The 15,670-nt window shown below is 35.1% G+C and overlaps 1 long non-coding RNA gene across 2 annotated transcripts in view; it reads right to left on the bottom strand.

Moving 5' to 3' along the window:
• The window catches only part of NPHP3-AS1 (NPHP3 antisense RNA 1), a 152,462-nt gene that overhangs the window by 132,489 nt on the left and 4,303 nt on the right, over positions 1–15,670 (bottom strand). Inside the window, exons 2-4 of one of the 2 annotated variants that reach the window (NR_152743.1) lie at positions 15,297–15,362; positions 14,141–14,230; positions 8,279–8,399 (exon numbers count right to left, since the gene is read on the bottom strand). This is a non-coding gene — a long non-coding RNA (NPHP3 antisense RNA 1). The remainder of the gene's footprint in view (positions 1–8,278; positions 8,400–14,140; positions 14,231–15,296; positions 15,363–15,670) is intronic. The other variant, NR_002811.2, reaches the window with a different exon arrangement.

Raw genomic sequence — 15,670 nt, 5'->3', positions numbered from 1 at the left:
AGTGTGGCAATTCCTCAAGGTTCTAGAACTAGAAATACCATTTGACCCAGTGATCCCATTACTGGGTATATACCCAAAGGATTATAAATCATGCTACTATAAAGACACATGCACACATAAGTTTATTGTGGCACTATTCACAATAGGAAGGACTTGGAACCAACCCAAATGTCCATCAATGATAGACTCGATTAAGAAATTGTGGCACATATACACCATGGAATACTATGCAGCCATAAAAAAGGATGAGTTCATGTCCTTTGCAGGGATGTGAATGAAGCTGGAAACCATCATTCTCAGCAAACTATGACAAGGACAGAAAATCAAACACAGCATGTTCTCACTCATAGGTGGGAACTGAACAATGAGAACACTTGGACACAGGGCGGGGAACATCACACACCCAGGCCTGTCTGTGGGTGGGGGGCTGGAGGAGGGATAGCATTAGGAGAAATATCTAATGTAAATGATGAGTTGATGGGTGCAACAGACCAACATGGCACATGTATACCTATGTAACAAACCTGCACGTTGTGCACATGTACCCTAGAACTTAAAGTATAATTAAAAAAAAAAAAAGAAACAGAAACAGAAAAAGAAAATGGCCCCAAATGGAAGCAGAGGAAAGCAGCACGGAATGAAGAGCAGCAGAAACGGTGAAAGGACATCAATATGAACAAATGCTCACTATATAAAAACAGTTATGTTTGATAAAACTTAAAATAGAGAAAGAAGATACTTGACAACAAAAGCATAAAAATTGAAAATGGGGTAAATGAAGTTTCAGTTTTTAAATTCTTGCATTATCCATGAAATACTAAAAGTTCTAAATAATGATAAACTGAATAACCAAGGATATATGTGGAAATGTTTAGAATAACTACTAGAAGATTAATACATAAATATGTAACAAGCTAATATGGACAAATGAAATAACATTTAAAAATACTTGATTAATCCAAATAAAGGCAAGATATATATATGTATACTATTATGTAAAGGTAATATACATAATAAACATATATATTTACACATACATATATTTATTATCTATATATTTATACACAAAGTATATATTCATATGCAATATATATTTATATTTCTTTTAATATAAAATATATATTTATATGCTATATATATATATTCCTTTTAAATGGAAGTAAAACTTCAGCATCTGTTGGATATAGGCCTTTGGTTTGTTTTGAAAAAAAATGAGGAAAAAATTAAAACTTAAGTCACAAGAATTTATAATAAATATTGTCAATATATATGTGGCCTATGTAACTATTATATTTAAATCCACAAAGTTGCAGAAGAAAAATTACCCAGGATAGAAACTTTGTAGTAGAGCTCAATAATATATGGAAATTATTTCTAAGGAAAGAAACATAATTTCAAAAACACAGCTAGTTCTGGGGAAGCCAATTTACTTTAAGAAGCTGAAACATTCAGGATAATTTAATGCAGAGGGAGAATGACAAAAATCACCTTTTTTAGGTGATGATGGGAAGTGCGAAGTTTTATTTCTTCAGGTGAAGAAGGCTGTTATTTACTCAAAGGATGTTTGTTCCTAACCCAGGGAAATAGTATTTGATAGATGTGGTTTTATCTTCTGAGACTTCACTGTAGCAATGTTCTGTGAAACCATACTAGAATTAAGAATTTTTATACCTTTGGTAACTGACTCTCCCGATGTAGAGTTGAAAGGGGATGTTTTTACTTAACTATATCATAACAAATCTTTTTATTTATTTGTATGTACACACCCCACCCACACCCAACCCCTCACCACACACACATTGGCATTAGTGAAAGTAACTGACTTATCACAGATGTTCCAAATACTGAAGTTTCAAGATAATAGAAGTTTCTCTGATGAAGGGTCACCAACATCTTTTTTAAGACAACATATTAGCTACTTAGCAGAGAAGTTTTTATAAATTATTATACACTTGCCAATATACTTACATCAACTACAAACCACATAATATATATTTTACTGACAATTAAGGACCATTATTATGAACATTGATCGTTATACTAGCCTATAATGTTCTCAGGGACTGCAGAACTGCTAAAGGTGCTAAACTACTTCTTTTTTAAAGAAAATTATCCTATCTAATTTTTGTGGTTTTCCAGCTTCCTTTCTCGACTTCAGGCCACAGCTGTAGTTTTCACTACTGCCAATGTTTCCACTTTGTCCAGTCTTTTCTAATCTATTATAAATTTGAAAGCCAAGGTCCAACACAATAGAGCATAGGATCTTCATGGATCCTCTCCTGTGAGTTAGATGAATGCTGGACATGGAAAGTGTTTAGAATTTTACCAAAATTACTTTTCTCTTTTTCCACTTATGGGTTTGGGGTGGTATTTTACATAGCTAAGGTTTTCCTATAAGAGAACTACATGGAAGTGAAAAACATATGTTTGTCGATTTTTATTAATAATGCATATAATGTCAGACTCTACTTCCATCTGAACTTTAACCCGTTAACTCTCAGGAAATTGGTTCTACTTAGCTCCTGGATGCAAGGGGGTGGAATGGGATGAGAAGTGAGGGAGAAAGGAGCTAGCACTCACTGAGCCACTGTTGGGGATCCTGCTAGGTAGAGCCACCACTGTGTTACCTCATTTAATTCTTAAAGCCAGTCTATGAGGCACACATTACCAACTTCATTTTATAGTTAAGAGGGAAAGAAACTAACAGACAAAAGCAAGGCTCAGAGGAGTAAAGGAATTTATCAAAAGTCACCCTGCTAGAAAATAGCAGAACTGGGATTCAAACCTTGCTTTGTCTCACTGCCTCCTTTATTCCCTTCCACTATGTAAAAGCTTTGGAAAATCTCAGGGATTAACTAGAAAAGTCCAACGCTAGGGAATGTACTATGGTGAAAACATAGCTCCAATATTCTGGGCAATATTACTGTGGTTCTAAAACTGCACAGAGGGAAAAGATGACATAATAATCTAAAATCTTCTTAAAAAATTGAACAATTTTAAGCAATAAAGGTACATATAGGAGAAAATGCAAGAATAGATTTTAAATGAATCTGAAGTTTCTTTTTGGTGGTATTTTTAAACTTTCCTAAAGAGAAATTGTGGATAACCACCAAGGATCAAAATTAACTTGCATAAGGTATACGTGAGGCAAGGGCAGTGAACTTGAATCTCTAGGAACTCCTTCTAGTGACTCAGGGAATCAAGTAAATTTGCATTAACTGGCTTGGTGGAGTTGGTAAGAGACTATTGCTAAGTCACAAATGGGACTTATAAATTGCCTGATTTGGAGACTAAATGGTGTAAGGGAAAAGGCTGTGGCTACCCTTCCCTAGGAAAGAGTAGAAGACAGGCTTTCACTGGGTATAATTTGAGTTGTAAATGAATGTCCAGTGGAAGAAGTGTATTTGAAAAATGGCAATGTAAAAAATGGACAGAGGTGATAAGTTCAAAGGTGAAAAGATGGATTCAAATGTCACTTGTGTAGACAGGAGCTGAGCTCACAGCTGAGACTAGAGCCACTCAAAACCCAAATACACTGGAAGAAAAGCAGAGGACATAGTTTTGAGGAGACTCCTGATATGGTTTGGATTTGTGTCCCTGCCCAAATCTCATGTTGAAATGTAATCCCGATGGATGCGAGGCCTTGTGGGAGGTGATTGGACCATCAGGGCGGTTTCTAATGGTGTAGCACCATCCCCCTAGAGCTGTTGTCATGATAGAGTTTTCACAAGATCTAGCTGTCTGGTTGTTTAAAAGTGTGTAGTACCTCCCCGCTCTCTCTCTTCCTTCTGCTCTGGCCATGTAAGATGTGCCTGCTTCTCCTTCCCCTTCTGAGGAGTTTCCTGAGGCCTGCCTAGCCATGCTTCCTGCACAGCCTGTGAAACTGTGAGCCAATTAAACCTCTTTTCTTTATAAGTCTCTGGTATTTATTTATAGCAGTGCAAGAACAGACTAATACAGTGGAGAAAACATTAGTTATAGATAATGAAAAGTGATTAAGCAAACTATTCCCTATGTGCTATATCCTATCATTTTGTGCTAACAGTTAATGCTTCATTAAAACTTAAATCATATATGCTGGTTATACTTTCCCCACCATGAATAACAACCCTTCCTTCCATTTTCAGGGCAGCATTTCTTTTTGTGGGTCTTCTTTTGTTTTGGTTCAATTTAGTTTGTGAGTCTGTTATCATCTAATAAACTGATGTGTGGGAGGCAACACAGATGCTGGTAAAATCAATTGAAGAATATGTACATAAATGAAATGATATCTCATGTTTATGGATTAGAAGACTAATATTGATAAAATGTCCATACTACCCAAAGTAATCTACAGATGCAATGTAATCCCTATCAAAATGCCAATGATACTTCTCACAGAAACAGAAAAAATACTCTAAAATATATATGGAACCACAAAATAACCCAAATAGCTAAAACAATCTTGAGTAAAACAAACAAAGCTAAAGGCATGACCCTGATTTCAAAATCTACTACAAAGCTATAGTAGTCAAAACAGCATAGTAGTAGCATAAAAGCAGACATATAAACCAATAGAACAGAAATGAGAGCCCAGAAAAAACTTCATACATTTATGATAAATTAATTTTTGACAAAAGTGCCAAGTGCACACAATAGGGAAAGGACAGTTTAGTTGATAGTGTTGGGAAAACTGGATACCCACCTGCAGAAAGAATGAATGGGACCTTATTTTATGGGACCCATATAAAAAAAATCAACCCAAAGTGAATTAAAGACTTAAACATAAGACCTAAAACTATAAAACTGCTAGAAGAAAGCATAGGGGGAAATGCTATGACATTGGTTTGGGCAATAATTTTTGGATATGAACCCAAATGCACAGGCAACAAATGCAGAGCAGACAAATGGAATTATATCAAATTAAAAATCTTCTGCATGACAAAACAATAAAAACGAAAACAAAACAAAACAACAGAGTGAAGAGACAACCGATGAAATGGGAGAAACATTTGCAAACTGTACATCTGATAAGGGCTTAATATCCAACATATAAGGAATTCAAACAACTCAATAGCAAGAAAACAAATAACCTGATTTTAAAATGAGCAAGGGGGAAAAAAACTAACAAAAGCAAGGCTCAAACGGGTAAAAGAACTTACCAAAAGTCACACTGAATAGGCATATCTCAGAAAGACATACAAATAGCCAACAGTATATTTTTAAAATGCTCAACATCACTAATCATTAGGGAAATGCAAATTATATAATTTGCATAATAATAAAACCATAGTGAGATATCACATGTCAACCAAAACTGAGGCTGTTGAGGCAAAAATAATTTGACAAATTATTTCTGCATTCCAAGTATTGCATTGGAAGCTAGATGTGAGGACTGGACTAGGAAGACATACCAAAAAATTGGGGAGGGTTCTAGAGTCTATTACAAGTTGGAAGGTTTTATAGGAAAATTTAGGAGAAGGGAGGGGGACTCCCCATAGTTTTTAATTGGAGATTATAAAACAGAGGTTGCAATCTAGATACAGATTGCAATGTACAGGCTGAAATGTCTATATGCAAGACAATCAGTAATACTTTATGATTTAGAAATAAAATCAGTGTCCTTTTCAGTGTCAGTAAGCTATGCCTTAATCAATACATTAACAATTTGAGGAACTCATGATAAGATTCATCACTAAGGGACAGGTTGTCAGCATGAATCACAAGACCTTCCCAAGGTGGGTTAATTTGGAAGCCTGTTTACTTTTAAAGTGAACTGTCAAATGTGACCTGTAGGTTATTTCCCTTTTTGATCAAAAATCTTCCCATGGAAACATTGATACTCAATCTCTGCTTAAGTTAGAGTGACAGACATTCTTTATTTCTCAGCACTGGGAAGGCCCATTCCTAGGAAGTCATGTCCCTCAGCAAGAGGAAATAACTTTGTTATCACAGGCAGGCAAAATTACTAGCAACATCAGGCAGGTCATGAGACAGGCTACATGTTAGTTTCCTGAATAAAGAATCATCTCCAGTCACTGGGAGACATTAGCTGTTGATCTCAAGGAATCTAATATTCAGTCCAAATTGTAGGCAAATAGTAATAAAAATAAATCAAAAACAATGGGCAAGTCTAGAATCAAAAAGCAGGTATACTATAATTTTCTTCTGAAACATAATTACTCTCTCTCCAGTCCTCCTTTTTTACCAAAGACAAATAATGAGACCAATTTTGTTCGCAATATAAGTTTTTGTCTTATCATAATTGGCCTAATTATTTGCGTAAAGTACAACAAAAATAGTGATCAGCCATATAGGCTCTTTTAAGTTGACTTTGCTGGAACGTTTTCATAAGGGCTTTTAGATTAGACTTTTAACAACTCCTTCAGGCTAGGGAGCCAAGCCAAGGATTCACCATCAGACTGTGCCTATAATACCTGTATGAAATGGGTGAATTTCTCTCTTCTTGAGGTGCCCAAAATATCTGGAGGTTCCTGGGCCTGTCAGAAAGTGACATTCTTTAATTACTGCAAGGTCAGGAACTCCGTAAAGAAACTATGTAGACAAGGTACCAGGCCAGTCTTTTCCAAGTCTATTGGCTTTACAAAGTCAATTTCAATCCCTCAAAGCAGTCTTGTCATATTTGAAAATATGACATTATAGTCAAAGCCTTGGTAAAATAACCAATGTTTCCAATGTGACTTAATACAAAAGAAAACAGAATTGAATCAAACTTATGCAAATAAATATATTGCCATAAAATAAGAACACTTAGGAATAGTTTCCAAACTCTCTGGAGAATTTAGGTAGAGAGAAAAAGGTAAATCTTTCAATTTTGCTCACAAAAGTATACTTTAACCAATTGCTGTAAGATATAAATAGCTCAAATGAAAAAAAAATTCTTGACTGGAAAACAAGTATGGAAAGAATCAGCAATGTTTCAAACAGTCATAAAAATCATTTTAGTCCTCTATCAGTTTAGTTTCATGTAATTCTTGTTTTGCTTTGTGTTGGGTTTGCTGTCTTCATGAATCCATCAGTTTATTAGTAGAGTTATGGAAGTTTTTACCTAATACATTGATCTTAACATTATCAGAAATCTGTGTTCAAGAGTAGTTGTTAGAGTCTTTTCCATGAAAAGCAATTTTGGACTATAGCTCATTGTAAATGCTTTTAGTAAAGAATTCAAAATAATAACTGTGGATAACAAAAACTTAAAATAGTCATGTTTAAAATCTAGTGGAAGACAAAGAAATTTAGTTGTTTCTATTATATGTGGCATTTTAAAACAAAAAACAGAATCATGACTGACAGCATCACATCATGATTTCCAGACTTTTATAAATTTCATGTAATCTCTACAATATTCCTATTAATAATACATCCATACAAATATAACTTTGGAAAAGATTTAATATAGTCAAAATTATGACTCATAACATTAGATTTTTATAAATTTATATAATTCTGGGGATATTTATATCAATAACATGCCCATAAATATAACTGAAAGAAGATCTAGTACCATTTATCATTTGACAATGTTTCTCATACAATTTACCAAATAAGCCTAATAATTTAATATCTCTACAAGACATATTCTTTGAGGTTCTCCAGAGGTCTAACTAGAAAACCCTAAAGTTAATTTTAGGGGAAACAGCCTACTTTAGGAGTTGATTTGGGGGAAGTTTGTCAAAGATGTCAAAAGTTCCAAGCATTTGATGAAAACAGAATCGCCAGTCACTGTTAATTAATACTTATTCATTTAACCAGAGTGGTAATCAAAAGACTTCAAAAGCAATAAAGAAAGTTACATGGATGTAAAACCCTTAATCCTTTTAAAGAAACCAAAACCAAGTAAGGACAACACAGAAATTATCTTGATAAAAGGAAGTTTCAAAAAGAAATGGATTTTAGAATTTTAAAATAAAAATCTTTTGCAATTTTATTAAAAGAAAATGAATACTTTACAAAAACCTTGTTATAATACAGGGGACCACATTTTTTTAGTTTTGTTCTAGCATATTTTCAATGTCAAAGCTTAATCTTTAGAAAACTTAGAAATAATTTCTTTAGAATTATAGCCAACTTAATCACACACAAAATTGTTTTCATAAATTCTCTTTTCACGAACCTTATCATGACATAGGCAGACCATTGAAAACACGCTTGGACTTTCTGCTTTGTCCTGTATTTCCTCTTTCTTAAATAACCAGTCATTTTACATTAGGACAAAACTTTATCATATGAGATTCTTTCTCATACAAAATTATTCTCTTTTCTTTTTAACCTTCCTTACCAAAAATGCATCTTCATATCCATAACCTTCTTCATATTTTTCTCTCCTAGTTACTTGTTCCTTTTTAATCTTGTTTCTTTCTCCTTCCTAAGTCCATATTTTGAAACAACCTTTAAGTAACCTACAAATTAGACAAAATTATTTTTTCTTTCTCAATAAAGAACACATTTTTATAATAATTTTTATAATAAAGAACACTTCTTATAATTTTTTCTTATCAAAAACACATCTTATTTTTGGCACATTCTATATATAAAATTATATATAAATATTAATTAGAACTTTTAACTCTCAGTAACCTTACATTTTAGTGACAACCTCGACAACAAGAATCTTTGCTTGTCACATATCAGTGTCTTATAAATGAAAACCATTTTATAATCTTTAGAAACATGTTTTCTTATAATATGTTTACCTTAATTGGAAATGACCCAGACATTTAATAGTATCTATTATTTAATTTAACATAGCTTTAAGATTTCAAATTACATGAAAAGTTCCTCTAGAGGTGTATCTCATTGACAGTTATCTAATTTATTTATTTTTAACAGCTTACCTAGAATATTTATGAAAACTGAAATATTAGACAAAGCTAGTCAACATTTCAAGTTATTTTACTGCTAACCACGTTTATAGTCTGTGAATATCAGATATTCACTTAAGTAAGAAGCTTAAAGTTAAATTTATGGATATTTTGCCAAAAACTCAGAAGATGGTTGTTCTTATTAAACTAGTCTTACATGCTAAAAGATCTATTCAAGTGATATGAATTTACAAAGTATTTTGGCTTACTAATTGATGAGTGCTTATTTATTTATAAACCAATTTGGTACCATGTAAACAATATACAAATACAGACATGTGTACATGTACATATAAAAATACAAACAGATGCAAATAAAGATTTTATAGCTTTGCTTTTAAAATTTTATTCATGAGTCAGGTAAAACTCACCAGCTTAAAAGAACAGTTGAATTAAATTGTGCCTCTGTAAATACAACAAGTTAATCTGTCTTCCATGGCTGAAGATCTTACCGAGTACAGTAAATTTACATCTCAAGGCACAGAGACATAATTTAAGTTTTCTAAAAGGCCAGTGAAGTTTTATATCTGCAAGGGACTGTGAGGTCTAGCAGCACATTTAAAGAGTATTATCTGATATTTGGTAAAAGGTTTAATCAGGTTTACTTCCACTTTAATGGAGGTGGCTGTATGTATTTTACTAATGTATATGGAAGACCACAAATGGTTTGGCAAAGCTAGCAATAAACCATAAAATGTGTTGATCATTAGTACCACTTTAGAAAAAACTTGTTGGATCTGTATTTTTAGAATCTCAGTAGTTTCATTCTCATTCTGCAGTTGTTCCATTTGCTCCTTCTGTTTTAAATTTAAATACATTTTAACTCCCTTGAAAGAAGTAAATGAGTCCATTGTGAAATTCCAAAAATCTCTGCCTAAGAGATGTATGGGAGCCCAAGGAACAAGCAGAAGGGAATGAGTTCATATAAGAGAGAAGATGAAAGAACAGGGGTAGACAAGGAGGAGCCATGGGGAAGAAAGGGAGAGAGCCTTCTAAGTATTTTTCAACTAATGTACAATGGTTTGAATGGTTTTAAATATCCTTTTGTTTACCTCTTGAATGGAGGCATTTTTTTTTTTCAAAGAATTTCTTTTAGAAGCTTCTAGGTGCTGTTGGAAGTAAGTCTCCCATTCAATCTGGCTCCAAAACCAACTTTTTCCATTTGTGTGCACAGATAAATTATTTTAGGCATTTTCAAAACATCCCCATTTTGGCCACTGCTGCTGATGACCATCCTGGGTTAGATGGGTCCACTTATCCAAGTACTTGCAAGTAAAACAACATGAAACCAGCTAGTGTCAACAGAGGTGGTATACCTTCAGTCTGGATGCATTTTCCTGGCTGCTTTGAGCAAGACAAGCTCTATAAGGGGTCAGGTGTGCTGACTATGAATCTTTCCTCTGGGGATTTCATACAATGGGCTGAAAAGAGTTCTTATGTGTCTTGGACTCCCAAGTCACCTCCAAAGAAGGGTCGGGATGCTCGGGGCAAGAGATGATCAGTCCTTCTAAAGCCTACAAGCTGAGCAAAAAGTGAACAGTTTGGCCAGAGGGAGTAAATGTCTCATCTTTGGAGCAAGAGTGCCCTCATGTGATTGAGAAGGAGAAAACTAAGGAAAGATTGTCTCACCTAGCCTCCAGGGAAACAATTCACTGAGCTCCTATTTTATTCTGCCCTAAAATTCCCAATAAAACCCTTCCCTTGAATTGGTAGCAGTAACTCTTGTGCTGAAAGAGTCATTGTACCTCCTGGCCAGGGAGGAAACTAGCTTCAATAAACCAGAACTTCAGCCAAGATGTGAGGGTTCCAGGAGGAACCCATCTGTAGCACCCAGCAGGAGCATTTAAATTTGGGAACACAATAGGTTCATTACTGGTACATGCATAATGGTCAAAAGCCACATTGGATGATCCAGGGAAGTTGCTCTGGAATCCTGCTGATTATAACAGAATGTTGACTGAAATTAAGGTTCTTAAGGCAGAAATAATTTGATAAAGTTACTTTGGAAGCCAAATGTGAGGATCAACCCAGGAAGACACACCAACAAAATTGGGAGGGTTCCAGAGTCCGTTACAAGTTAGAAGGCTTTTGTAGGAAAATTTAGGAGAAGGGAGGGGGACTACTCATAGGAGTTGTCCTTTTTCATTGGCGAGTACAATATAAAAGTTACAATAATTGGATACAGATTGCAACATATAGGCTAAAATGTCTATGTACAAGACAACCAGTAAAACTTTGTAATTTGAAAACAAATCAGCATCCTTTTCAGTGTCAGTAGGGTATGTCTTTATTAGTACATTAACAATTAGAGGAACTCATAAGGTTCATTACTGAGGGACAGGATGTCACCATGAATTATAAGACCTTCCCAAGGTGGGTTAATTTGGAAGCCTGTTTACTTTTAAACTGTCAAATGTTACAGTCAAATGTTAAACTGTCAAATGTTGTAGCTTATCACACCTTACACCTGTTAGACTGGTTATTATAAAAAAAAAAAAAAGATGAAAGATAAGTGTTGGCAAGGATGTGGAGAAAAGGAAACCTTTGCACACTGTTTGTAGGAATTAGTACAACCATTATGGAAACAATACGGAGGTTCCTCAAAAAACTAAAAACTTAACTACCATTGGATGATCCAGCCATCCCACCAAGGGGTATATACCTAAAAGAAATGAAATCAGTGTGTTGAAGAGATATCTACACTTCCATGTTCATTGCAAAATTATTCGCAATGGCCAAGATATAGAATCAACTTAAGTGTCCATTAACAAATGCATGGATACAGAAAATTTAATATATATATATATCTCCAATGGGACAGTATTCAGCCTTTAAAGAAGAAAATCCTGCCATTTGCAACAACATAAATGAAACTGGAGGACATTACACTAAGTGAAATAAGCCAGACACAGAAAGACAAATGCCATATGATCTCACTTACATGTGGAATTTAAAAGAGGACTCACAGAAGCAGAGAGTAGAATGGTGGTGGTTACCAGAGGCTGGTGGTGAGGGGGGGCTGGAGGATGTTTGTCAAAGAATACAAAGTTTCAGTTAAACAGGAGGAGTAAGCTCAAGAGATCCATCATACAACGTGGTGACTACAGTTAATAACAATATATTGTGTACTTGAAAATTGCTAAGAGAAACTTTAAGCATTCTCACCATAGAAAGTATGTGAAGTAATACATATGTTAAATAGCTTGATTTAGCCATTCCACAAAATATACATGTATCAAAACATCATGTTGTATTCCAAAAATATATACAATTTTTATTTGTCATCTTAAAAAATAAAATAATTTTTATAAGGAAGTCTGGTGCTTTTTGCCTTTTGGCGTCAGAATGTAACAGACATATAACCATCAGAATATAACCATCTCCATCGACTGATTTGACTCGGGTTCAAAATGTAATAGCCAGAAAACAGTGAAGAAACACTATTTTTTAGGACAATGGTAGTCATATGTATTTAAGGATGCAGATATGCCAGTGATTTCTGTCACAGAGAGGCCCTAGTTTTGCTGGATATCAATCAAAACAGCCTTCAAAGAATGAAATATACATGTCAGGCTTGCCAAAAAAATGTTTAGGGTCTCCCTACTAAGTTACTTAGAAAAGAGAGTTTAAATGAAATAGTGCATTTTCTGGATCCCTGGGAAACAAAACATAATCAAAACTAGTTTATTCATTTGGATGTCTACAACTGCTATAAAGTGAACTACTATTATCTCCGTTTTCAGATGAGGAGACTAAAGTGCAAGAAGCCAAATAACTTGCACAACATTTTGCCAGAATCTAAGCTATGGCAACCATATAACAACTCGTTCCCTATCTCCTTTTCCTGGTCTCCTCCCTACTGGAACAACTGTCTCAGACCAGTGAAATGTGCACACTTTGACCTGTGGCCTTAAGTGTCTTCTTCACAGTGCCCAAGGATAGATGTGTTCCTGGATAATCTGAGTTAATATGTTGAAAGCGTATTTCCAAAGACTACATATTACAGTGGCATTTGAGTTGTTTAGTCTGCATTTAGCATAAACAGCATTCAGCTGTGTGCTAAGCTGAACCAATAGCCACCTTGTCTAACGCTGTTTCTTGAGGAAATATGCTTCAAATACTAAATATCAGATTTTTAAATTAATCGCTGGAATGCTGGAACACAACTTCTTTCTAAATTGGGGTTATAACTCACATATAAACTCCCCTTAATTATGATGAGAATTAATAAAATTTTGTAACTGTAAGTAAATCTTATCTAAAAGATAAAATCTTTTTTTTTTTTTTTTTTTTTTTTGAGACAGGGTCTCACTCTCACTGTACTCTCACTGGAGTACAGTGGCACGATCCTGGCTCACTGCAGCCTCCACCTCCCAGGCTTAAGCAACCCTCCCACCTCAGCCTCCCGAGTAGTTGGGACTACAGGTGTGCATCACCACGCCTGGCTATTTTTTTTATTTTTTGTAGACAGTGGGTTTCACCGTGTTCCCCAGTCTGGTCTCAAACTCCTGGCTCAAGCAATCCACCTGCCTTGGCCTCCCAAAATTCTGGGATTACAGGCATGAGCCAGCACGCCGGGCTGTTTTAAGCTCTTACAGTTACAATCAGCCACTTTTATTCATACATTACTTGTGAAGAGATTTTTTTTCCCCTTGCAACTACAAATGTCAGCTGACTCTTTTCTCTGTGGCTGATTTATGTCAGAAAAGGCACATCTCAAATGTATACAGTAGTGAAGACTTCATCTCTCCTTCATAGGAGCTAATTGAATATGGCGCCTCATCTTCATCCTGGCATGTGGGCATTGAGTGTAAGAAAAAATAATAGTCACTAATGACAACCTGAAGTGGGTGCTGGTTACTAGGTTTGGGATAGATGGCTCCATAGAAGAATTTAAGATTATATTCAACTTCACAGATGAACATGAGGCAGAGGCGGAGAGAGGTCGGAGAATAGCCTTGAATTTGAGAAACAAAGGGACATTTCTCAGCAAATAAGAAATAAATGGCTTCTTTCATCCTAGAGGCTGTTATGGAGAAATAGAACCCCTTTATTTGTTAAACAAATATCCCAAATGTGCAGTATGCTTTATACAGGACCACAGGTAAACATATTGGCTATGGTATTCTTAACAAAACCCATTGCAGCTCTTCTTAAAGCATGGCCTTCTATATATCCATATATTTGATTAGCCCAAGGGGAAACAGCCCAGGGAAACACTATCGTTAGAACACATACTTCATAAAAGAATGGATACCCCATATTTAAAATATTCTTACCCCATTTCCCTGTCCAGTGCATGTGGATGTGTTGCCTTTGTTTCACTCTTGCACCCACCTTGGCACTAAACTCCTCTTCTTCACCAATTCCTGAAAAAAAAAATAGGTCACAGCAAGTTTTTCAGAATTTGTAAACTTATTGAACATTTGGGACATTTTTTTAGGAGATACTACACAGCACTCCAGCATTTCTCTTATCGCTTTTCCTTCTCCTTTACTGTTTTCATCAATGTCTTCTCCTTCCTTGTTCAATTTAATTCAGTATGCCCCTCTGTCTGTTAGGACAGGCTGGGTTGTTCTCTGGCCAAAATAATCTGAACACTAGGGCCTTAATACAAACATTTACAGAGGAATGAGCCTTTCATTGATGTACTTTCAGAGTAGTTATAGAGATTATCTAAGCCTAAGCTTCACATTTATATCTTTTATACCATGGATAGTTATTCAGATACTAAAAACATTGTAACAAGGTGGACTTTACGGTTTCCTAAGAGGTAAAGTTAACTTTATTTTGTCCTAATGGTTCCTAAATTAGTATTTGCTTCTAAATCAAAAGATAACTTTAAAAAATTCAGATATGTGAGCTCTACTTAAAAACATTTGGATTCGGTGGACTTGATGTGGGGTCCATGGCTCTACATTTTTAACAAGCTCCCCAGGTAATTATCCAGGTTTGAGAACCACTCCTCCAGTTCAGGGGTCAGCAAACCTGTGAGCTAAATTCAACCAGTCACCAGTTTTTTAAAATAAAGTTTTACTGGAATGCAGACACGCCATTTGTTTGTGTATGGTGTGGGGCTGCTTTTGTGCTATAATGGTAGAATTGAGTAATGTGACAGAGACTAAAGACTGAAATATTTACTATTTGGTCCTTTATAGAAAAAGCTTGCTGATCCTACTCTTGTCTGTTTCATAATAATTTCCAGAGTCATGTTATTACTTGTGATGGGAACTAAGTAAGGCAGTGTAGATGACTGTTAATGAAGGCAACACCCAGACTGTCGTCTTCACAAGGTGATCCTTTTTAATACATACAGCCAAATTATTTTTTTCCTGAGTTACACTGACCCCTAATGGTAGAAATGTTAAATCACAGCTGCTTGATCACAGTTTTCCCCTATTGTTAATTAGTTCCTAAAATTAGGGTCATACTTACAGACTTTGTAGTAGGAGACTTTAGAAGTCAGAGTTCACTTGGTAGAACTGAGCAGGACTAAACAGCCTGGGAGAAGGTTGGCAATTTTGGTGAGAGCTAGAATCCCTTCCTTTTGCAGAGTTCCTTTGTCTTCAAAGACTGTTACTCAATGAAGCATTTCCAATTATACAGGTCATTTATTCCAAAGTGATAAATTTTATCAGGACATTATGACCATTTGTGATGCCATGTCTATCTCTAAAGTTGAAGCACAATACTATCGATATAGTCAAAATTACATTTGCCTTCACTATGATGAACTGCGAAGAAAGGTCACAGAGGAATCTGTATACATGTAAACAGATACTGAGATGGTTACCAATGGGGATCACACA

Source organism: Homo sapiens, chromosome 3 (genome assembly GCF_000001405.40).
Source record: "Homo sapiens chromosome 3, GRCh38.p14 Primary Assembly".
NCBI classification, from domain to species: Eukaryota; Metazoa; Chordata; class Mammalia; order Primates; family Hominidae; genus Homo; species Homo sapiens.
This window is presented reverse-complemented; position numbering and strand designations above follow the sequence as displayed.